This window comes from Homo sapiens, chromosome 22 (genome assembly GCF_000001405.40).
Source record: "Homo sapiens chromosome 22, GRCh38.p14 Primary Assembly".
In the NCBI taxonomy this organism is placed as follows: Eukaryota; Metazoa; Chordata; class Mammalia; order Primates; family Hominidae; genus Homo; species Homo sapiens.
In genome coordinates, this window is record NC_000022.11 from 23957212 (window position 1) to 23966030 (window position 8819).

The 8819-nt window shown below is 54.9% G+C and overlaps 1 protein-coding gene across 2 annotated transcripts, besides 1 other annotated feature; it reads right to left on the bottom strand.

Annotated features, from left to right (window-relative positions):
• Positions 1 to 202: 202 nt before the first annotated feature.
• On the bottom strand, positions 203 to 3995 carry GSTT2B (glutathione S-transferase theta 2B). 2 transcript variants are annotated; one of them, NM_001363804.1, is made up of 5 exons: positions 3809 to 3995; positions 3083 to 3170; positions 1340 to 1490; positions 1116 to 1247; positions 203 to 721 (listed from the first exon to the last, which is right to left on the bottom strand). In NM_001363804.1, the coding sequence occupies exons 1-5, from the start codon at positions 3918 to 3920 to the stop codon at positions 512 to 514; spliced, it is 693 nt and encodes a 230-aa protein (NP_001350733.1). In that variant the 5' UTR covers positions 3921 to 3995; the 3' UTR covers positions 203 to 511. The 2 variants fall into 2 exon arrangements, with proteins under 2 accessions (NP_001350733.1, NP_001074312.1); NM_001080843.4 differs by having other exon boundaries at positions 1074 to 1247; positions 3809 to 3984.
• Positions 2205 to 2870: an enhancer, noted in NCBI's record as "H3K27ac-H3K4me1 hESC enhancer chr22:24301603-24302268 (GRCh37/hg19 assembly coordinates)". NCBI's record gives its function as "activates a minimal SCP1, AML or CMV promoter by ChIP-STARR-seq in naive H9 embryonic stem cells {active_cell/tissue: H9 hESC(naive)}" and the evidence as "EXISTENCE:reporter gene assay evidence [ECO:0000049][PMID:30033119]".
• Positions 3996 to 8819: the final 4824 nt, after the last annotated feature.

Sequence of the window (8819 nt, forward strand, 5' to 3'; positions counted from 1 at the left end):
GCCCTGTGAAACATCGCCTATATCCTTTAACAGTTTGCAATTCGAATTGGTTACTTACTTAACATTTTGTTGCCCTGGTGATACAATTATGTTGACTCGTTATTGTGAGGTTACTTTGTTATTAACCATGATGAGGATTACTAGCACATACTTTTACTCCATATGTATAACACAACAATGTAGTAAAACCAATAACTCTTGGTTCTCTATTCAAAGTGTTTGGAATCTTTATTCTGTTTAAAACACTGATGACATTTGCCAATTTTTGAGTGTTCTTCATGTTACTGATTTGTAGGAGCTCTTTATATATTGCAGATTTAGTCTCTTACTGGTTATGTATGCTGCACCTGAGGAGTAGCAGCACTGCCAAGGACACTGAGTGTCTTGTCTGTGCAGAGCTTCACATGAAGCTGGAGAGAAGGGACTGGGGCAAGAGGGAAAGATAAAAAGGGGCAAGTAAGTAACAGAATGAATCCTTGTTGCTAATCTCCTGGCCCCCATCCCAGACCCTTCAGGGGATCCTGGCGATTCGAAGCAGCATAGCCTGATAGGCCTCTGGTGAGGGTGTTGGGAGGGTTTTCTTGGCCGCCTGTTCCAGGATGCTCAAGATGATGCTGTGGGCCTCCTGGCATAGCTCAGCACCCAGGAAAGCCTCCACTCGTCCACGCCATGCTGCCAGTCGTGGCCGTCCCTCAAACAGTTCATAGCCGAGAGCCACCGGCTGTAGGGACAAGGATGAAAAAGTTGTGGGCATACAACTTTCCCAGTTGTCACTGCCGACCCGAATGCTGGAACCATGGGCAGAAGTATCAGAGACATGGTCCATTCCCCAGCCCCTAAGTGAATGGACCACAGGGGCCCAGGCAGTATGTTCAGCCTTAGAGCCCAAGAGCAGCCAGGGTGAGACCCCACACCCAGGCAGGAGGCAGAAGTTCAGGGTTCTGGCCCCAGATCATCCAGAGACTTGCTCTATGATTCTGGGCAAAGTTCTGGCTTTCTCCAGGCCTCAGTGTTTCTGTCTGCCTCATGGGTGTGACACGAAGAGGGACACTGCCCACAGGCTGAGCTCACACCTGCATCAGCTCCTCCAGGGCCATGAGATCAGCCAGTGTCACCTGCTGGCCAGCGAGGAAGGGCCTGTCCCCCAGGAACTTGTCCTCCAGCCATTGCAGGGCCTGGTCCATGGCAGTCCTGTTGCGTTCCACCTTCTCCTCGGGCACCTGGACCCCAATGAGTGGCCCCAACACCTGATGGGGGCAGAGAGTGGGTCAGTCTATGGCCCCGGCCTACTGCCAACTACTCCCTGATGGCCAATCACTCTCCAGATGGCTCTCCTCACCTGGACCCACAGGGGTATACCAAAGGTGCCACGGATGCAGTCGGCATGCCAGCCCAGGTACTCATGAACACGGGCACGAGCCTGCAGGTCAGATGGATACCAGTGGTCCGGCGTCTGGTACTTACAGCTCAGGTAAATCAGGATGGCCGAGCTGGGAACAAATGGGCAGTGGCTATAAGGACACTGGCACCAGGCATTTACCCCTAACTGCTCCCATCTGCCAGTGGGGCCCGGGGGCTTCTCTGCATTTGAAGGACTGCCCTCCAGCCTCGCCCTCCATCTCCAGCTCCCCAACACCACCCCCTCCTCCTACGAGTCTCCTCCTGTCTTTGTTGCCTTGGGCACCGACTCTTGGCTGGACCTTCTGCTTTGCATTTTGAGAACCTCATCTCTGTGATATGCCAGCAGCCGCCCTGTGAGGTAGACACTCCTGTTAGCCTTTTAGCACAAGAGAAAACTCAAGGTCAGAATGGTCAAGTGACTTGTCCGAGGCGGTGCAGCTCAGAATAGGCTCCCTGGACCCCTGGAACCCTGCATGGGGCTGGCACACAGTGGATGCTCCGTGGAGTCCCTTGCATGTCCACGCGCTTGGGTCAGGGATCACGAGGGGAGGAATGTCTTTGGCCCCCGTCTGACAGGCCCCCAGCCATCACTTCTGCAGCCACCTGACCTCTTGTCCTTTTCCTGCCCAGCAGCTGGACCTCACCATGAGCTGTGCCCTTGGGCCATGGCATTGGCCTCTAGGCCCGGCCTGGGTAGATTGGGTAGTCTGCAACAAGTCACTAGAGGCTCTTTTCAGCTAGCATTTGTTGAACAAATGCGCAACAGTGGAAAAATGTTCCCTTGTCTTCTCTTCTAATACCCTTCAGTCTGGGAGTGGAGAGGCCCTGCGGCTCAGAAAAGGCTGGAAGATGAGAGGTGGGGGGACATGTTCTGTCAGCCCCTGCTCATCCCGGTCACACCCCAAGCTGTACCTTCTCCCCAGATACCTCTCCTTTCTTTCTTTCCTTTTTTTTTGAGACGGAGTCTCCCTCTGTCGCCCAGGCTGGAGTGGGCTCCCTCTGTCACCCAGGCTGGAGTGCAGTGGTGCTATCTCTGCTCATTGCAAGCTCCGCCTCCTGGGTTCACGCCATTCTCCTGCCTCAGCCTCCCCAGTAGCTGGGACTACAGGCGGCCGCCACCACGCCCTGCTAATGTTTTGTATTTTTAGTAGAGACAGGGTTTCACCGTGTTACCCAGGATGGTCTCGATCTCCTGACCTCGTGATCCGCCCACCTCGGCCTCCCAAAGTGCTGGGATTACAGGCGTAAACCACCGCGCCCGGCCTTTTTGAGACGGAGTCTAGCTCTGTCGCCCAGGCTGGAGTGCAGTGGCGCGATCTCAGCACACTGCAAGCTCCGCTTCCTGGGTTCACACCATTCTCCTGCCTCAGCCTCCAGAGTAGCTGGGACTACAGACGCCCGCCACCACGCCCGGTTAATTTTTTTTCCATTTTTAGTAGAGACGGTGTTTCACGGTGTTAGCCAGGATGGTCTCGGTCTCCTGACCTCGTGATCCGCCCGCCTTGGCCTCCCGAAGTGCCGGGATGACAGGCGTGAGCCACCGCGCCCGGCCAGATCCCTCGCCTTTCCCCTCCCTCGCTGCCCCATGGGGTATGGGAGGGCCACTGGGGCCCGGGGCCAGTGGGGAGAGCCAAGGTCACATGGGCTCCGGATGCGGTGAGGGGTGAGGGAAGGAGGGCACCTTTCGGTCAAGATGAAATCACCATCCTTGAGCGTCGGCAGTTTCCCCAGGCTGTTGATCTGCAAGAACTCCTTGCTCTTGTGCTGCCCTGAAGAGGAAGAAGTCAGAAAAGGTCTTCAGAATAAAAACGCTGCACCTCTACACCCTCCCTCCTCCTCCCCAAGCGGAGCCCCACAGCCCTGAGAAACAGCAAGGTCTGGGACTAGAGGCCTGGATCAGCCTCACTCCCTGGCTGGGCCTCCCTGCCCTGCCACATTCCGGGGCAGCTGGGGGGCTTTGGTGGGTGGGGCCAGGTGCAGCAGGTGGATAAAGAGAAGTTTTCTAGCCGGACTCTGGTGGGCCAGGGGAGGGGAGGCAAACTGGGGTGGCTCATCTCTTCCCATCTCTTAATTCTCACAACAGCATGTCCTTCTTCCCAAGGTCTTCTGGGCTTTGTGAATTTATATGCGTGCATTCCACGCAAGAACTCTGTCAACTCCATTCAGTATTTTCTTTCCATCCCTACAGAGCAGAAGGTAACATTATCCTCCTTTTCAGAAGGCAAGCTAAGGTTCAGAGAGGCTGTGATCCCTCCAAGGCCACTCAGTCCACAGCATTCTCTGGTGGCAGACGCTGCAGGAGGAGGTGAGGGGGCTGTGCGGGCGGCGAGACGCTCAGGGCAGAGCAGGGCGGGGGCCTGGGGGTGCACTGGGTTTGTGGACACGCGGGGAAACGGGCTGGGCCCACCTTTGACCAAATCCACGGTGCGCAGCTCTAAGGGGATGCCATTCTTCTTGGCGAAGATGTAGACGGCGCGGCTGGGCTGGGACACCAGGTCAAGAAACAGCTCTAGGCCCATGGCGGGGGCGGCAAGGACAGCGGGGATGGCAGTGAAGGCGCTGAGCGCGGTGTGGGCAGCAGCTGTGGCAGGATCCCGGCGCGCCGGGAAATAGGGGATCAGGCCCCACCCCCTGGGGACAGCACCCAATTGGAGCGCACCACCCCCGGACCCGCCTCGCCCCTTCGGTTCCTGTCCAGTCCTGCCGGCCAAGACTCCACCACCAGATCCGTGCGTCCCTACAGGGAGGGCGGTCGCTATGAACGCACAGCTGGGAGGGTGGAGTTGGAGCTGGGGACCCTCGACTGGCAGGGAGGACGCGGATGCAGGGGGCCGACTGCAAGGGGAAGGGGAACCGGCTGGACAGGGAGAAGCAGGTCTGCTTTTCGGGATCCCGGTGCCAGGGACCCTGCCCAGTTCCAGGCGTCGCCCTGACCCAGAAACGACTGGGCGCCGCCGTCCTGGAAAGGCCCCAGCGCACGGACATCTGAGGGTTCGTTCAGAGCTCTGTTTCTCGGCGCTGCATGGTGGCGGAAGGGAGGGAGCGAATGGGATCCCCTAAAAGGGATCTTAGAGTTTCACCCAGTGGGATGTGACACTTGCAGGTGTCCCAAACTGGTGGGAACCTTGACTGGAAGGCTGGGGTTAAGGATGAACTTTCTGCCGTCCAGACTGTCCCCTGCAGAGCAGCTGCTGCCAGACAGCGGGAGCTGCCAGACAGCGGGAGCTCCCACTTCGTGCACAGGATGGGGGCAGGGAGCCCGCAGCCGCGGGAGGCAGGAATGACTGTCCGGGAACCTCCTTTCTTCTCCCTGAATCCCAGCCCTGGCATCTCACCAGGGGGCACAGTGATGGTCCAGGGCTGGGCCCGGGACTCTAGCTGAATCTTTCAGAGTATCCCATCCCTCTGGCCAGTGGCCCAAGCGAGTGAACCAGAATGCTTCCTTGGGAGTTTTGAAACTGGAACTGGAGAGAGGAGCTCCCTATGGGGAGGTAAACGGGAGCTGGGGCCACCTGTAGTGACATTTCCTGAGTTCGAGGAGTAGACGAGACTGAGAGAGAAAAGCTGACTCAGAGAAAGGGAGTGATAACAGGGCATGCTGGCCCACACCTGCAATCCCAGTTACTCTCACGGGATCTGTTTCTCTGATGTCTGGGTATGAAAGGACTTTCTAAGCCTCAGAACAGTGGGAGAACTCAACAAAGAAAAAACCAATACATATACAAGGTTACTTTGTGGAGGAAAAAATGGATTAACCTTAAGCAAAAAACTGGGAAGGATCTCGGTAAAAGATACGTCAGAAGGAAGTAATGTCCTTTAAGATGTTCTTAGAAACCCATCAGACAGGTAGGGTGTGGTGGTTCACGCCTGTAATCCCTGTACTTTGGGAGGCAGAGATGGGCGGATCAGTTGAGGTCAGGAGTTTGAGACCAGCCTGGGCAACACGGTGAAGCCCCGTCTCTACTAAAAATACAAAAATTAGCTGGGTGCGGTGGCACACTCGGGAGGCTGAGACAGGAGAATCACTTGAACCTTGGAGGCAGAGGTTTCAGTGAGCTGAGATCATACCACTGCACTCCAGCCGGGCCACTGAGCGAGACTGTCTCAAAACAAACAAACGAACAAACAAAAAGAAGAGAAACTCATCAGACGAAGACACAGGAAAAAAATGAGCGAAGGAAATCAGCAGAGGTTTCATTGAAGGACAAAGAGAAATGGTCAATACATGGATGAAAACATGTTTAACTTCAGTAATAATCAAGGAAGCACACACCAACACAACATGCACATACTGTTTTTATTTATCAAAGGCACACATATTTTTGAAATGAGTACTCCTAATTAATATGTACAGAGCACTTACCCAGTGCCCAGCACAGGGGTGGCACCCTGTGTGTGAGACAGCATGAAACAGGTAGACACGCGCCCTGCTGAAAGTAAGGGACCGCCTCTCTGGAGGATCCATCGGGCAATAAGGAGGTTTCCACACCTTAACTGTGTCTGCCTTGACCTCTGGGGCCTGGGAGCAGAGCCCCCTCCAGCTGGTGGGGAAGGAAGCGTGGTGTGTTTGAGGACAGAATGGAGAGAAGTTGAGTAGAGCAAGTGTAGACTCTTCCTATCCAAAGTGTGGTCAATGGACTGGGAGTATCAGCATCACCAGGGAGCTTGTTGGAAATGCAGAGGCTCAGGCCCCACTCTGACCTTACTGATTGGGAGCATAAACTGTAACCAGATTCCAGGGAGGATTCATACACACATTCCCGTTTGATAAGTGGGGGGTAGTAGGAGGTGAGGTGAAAAGTGGGGAGGGGATGGCTACCGCACTGGAGAAGGCTGGCTTTGTGTTGAGGCCTTTCTCATGAGGGCAGTGGGGAGCCATGGAAGGCTTTATGCAAGAGAGGGTACGGGCAGATTGAGATTACAGAAGGATCCCACTGGTTGCCTTGTGTGAGGACCCAGGGAGAAGGGGGAGGCTGTCCCTGTTTGAGTAGGAGATGAGAGCTACTGGTGGCTATGAGTGGAAAGAAGTGAGCAGAGGTGAGCAGAAATCCCAAGGACTGGTGATGATAGGATGATGGTGGGAACCAGGATGGGCTTTGGGCAGACCCTGACCCCTCTCTCTGCCTGTCGGCCCACCAGATAATAATCCCTGTGTTCCTGGGCGAGTCAGTGCCACCCGAGATGTTGGCGGCCACTTTGGCTGAGCTGGACGGATGCTTGCAGCTGCTCGAGGACAAGTTCCTGCGGGACCAGGCCTTCCTTACTGGGCCCCGTATCTCTGTGGCTGGCTTGGTGGCAATCACGGAGCTGAGGCATGAGAGTGCCATGGGGTGCGGTGGCCCGCTGGGCAGTGGTGTATCCGGGAAGGGAGCTGACATCCCAGCTCATGTTGTCTTTTCTGGCTGTGGGACCCTGTGTGAGTCACTTCTCCTTCTGAGCCTCAGTGTCCTCATCTATAAAATGGGGCTTTACAAACCCCTCACCGCAGCTATATTAAGAGGCTTCCAAGTGTCCCCAGGGAGGGGGACATCCTAGCCCATCACACACATGGTGGAGGAGGGAAAATCCAATCAGAGAACCCCTAAAGCAGGTCATGCTGCCTTACACTTGGCTATGCCCAGCCCCTCCGCTGACTCTGTCTTCCCCTAGCCCATCAGTGCTGGCTGCTGAGTCTTTGAAAGCGGACCCACGGTGGCAGCATGGTGCCCAACACGTGGAGGCTGCAGTGCGGGAGGACTTCTTCCAGGAGGCCCTCCCAGCTGTCCTGAAGGCCAAGGACCTGCCTCCAGTAGAACCTGCTGTTAAAGAGAATCTGAAGACCTTAATGCAGCTTTTCTTGCTGTGAGTGCGTGTCCCACACTTGCTGAGCCACTGAGGGGATGCTGTGTTGGTAGAATAAAGACATGGAGCTGTCCGTCTCCTTGGTTGAAGAGAAGACATATCTGCAAAGGCTCTGGTCCACAGTTCCTCCAGATATCATGCCTGCATTCCTTTTGTCTCCTACCCCATTCCATTCTAGCTTCCATGTGACCTCTGAAAAGAGCTTGGGCAAACGCTTACTTGACCCTGACCTTCTGTGTGGAACTTTGTATGGTTCCTCACTGCCCAGAAGCTAAAGTACAAGTCATTGAACTTTGCATTCAAGGCCTTGCTCCCACTCCTCCAGGTGGCCCCTTCTGCCTGCACACTCCTAACCCCTCTCTGGGCTCCCACCTTGGCCTCTTGGCCTCCGCTCATGCTGTTCCCTCCTCATCTTCGCCTGGTGCCCTTCCTGGTCTTTTGGCATTTGGCACCCTGTCTCTTCTCCAGGGAGACTTCCCTGACCTCCCCAGCCCCAGTCCAGGTCAGGCGACCTCTCTGGGCTCCTCAGCCCCAGTGTTTCCTTGCGGGGGATACCCCCGGACTGAGCATGTATCATCGATGAGGGGTGACCTGGTGGAAAGATGTCTGAATCAGGATCAGCCTTGGTCTCCTCGGTCTCTCTCCTCACTGTGGGGCGATGTTGTGTTCCACAAGTGGGGTGCAGGGCTGGTTCATGAACCTCCTTGCAGGAAGGGAAGTCCCTGGTTATTTCCTGGCCCTCTCCCATGCCTCCTCATAACCTTGACCACAGTCTTCTCTACACCCCACTCCCGGACCACTGGCTTGTCCATGCCCCACACCTGGTCCCAGACTTGCCACCTGTCCCTGCCCTCTCCCCTTAGGACTGTCATATTTACCTGTCGTGTGTCTCAGACCTTCTGATATCTGAGTCATCTAATAAACAAACTGCTAATAGGACAAGATCATGACAGACAGAGACTCTGTCGGCCTTTCAGTGGAGGCTCCTTTAAGTATGCACACTTATAGAGAATTTTATACACGTAGTTGAAATTGTACATATAAACTTGCAAATTTTTTCTTTCTTTTTTGTGGGGGAGGGGGGAGCCTGGGTCTCACTCTGTCATCTAGGGTGGAGTGCAGTGGCACAGTCATAGCTCCCTGCAGCCTAGATCTCCTGCGCTCAAGCAATCCTCCTGCCTCAGCCGCCCAGGTAGCTAGGACTACAGGCACACACCACAGCACCCAGATTTCTTTCTTTTTTTTTTTTTTTTGTAGAAAATAAAGAAGAGAATCTTGCTATGTTGCCTAGCCTGATCTTTAACTCCTGGGCTCAAGCAATCCTCCCTTCTTAGCCTCCCAAAGTGCTGAGATTACAGGTGTGAGCCACATTGCTCGACCACAACTTCAATCATATTTGTAATGTACAATTCAAGTGATTTTGCCACACTGACCACACTCATGTTTAAGCCACGCCAACAGAGTTCCATGTTTTCTGATGTTTTTTCGAGATGGAGTCTCGCTCTGTCACCCAGGCTGGAGTGCAATGGCGCGATCTCGGCTCACTGCAACCTCCACCTCCCCGGTTCAAGCGATTC

Excerpts from the sequence above, each read along its gene's own strand:
- GSTT2B (NM_001080843.4), bottom strand. The coding sequence starts at position 3,920 with ATGGGCCTAGAGCTGTTTCTTGACCTGGTGTCCCAGCCCAGCCGCGCC. Across the intron at positions 3,171-3,808 it reads CACCGTGGATTTGGTCAAAG|GGCAGCACAAGAGCAAGGAG; the intron begins GTGGGCCCAGCC and ends CTTCCTCTTCAG. Across the intron at positions 722-1,073 it reads CCCTGGAGGAGCTGATGCAG|CCGGTGGCTCTCGGCTATGA; the intron begins GTGTGAGCTCAG and ends TTGTCCCTACAG.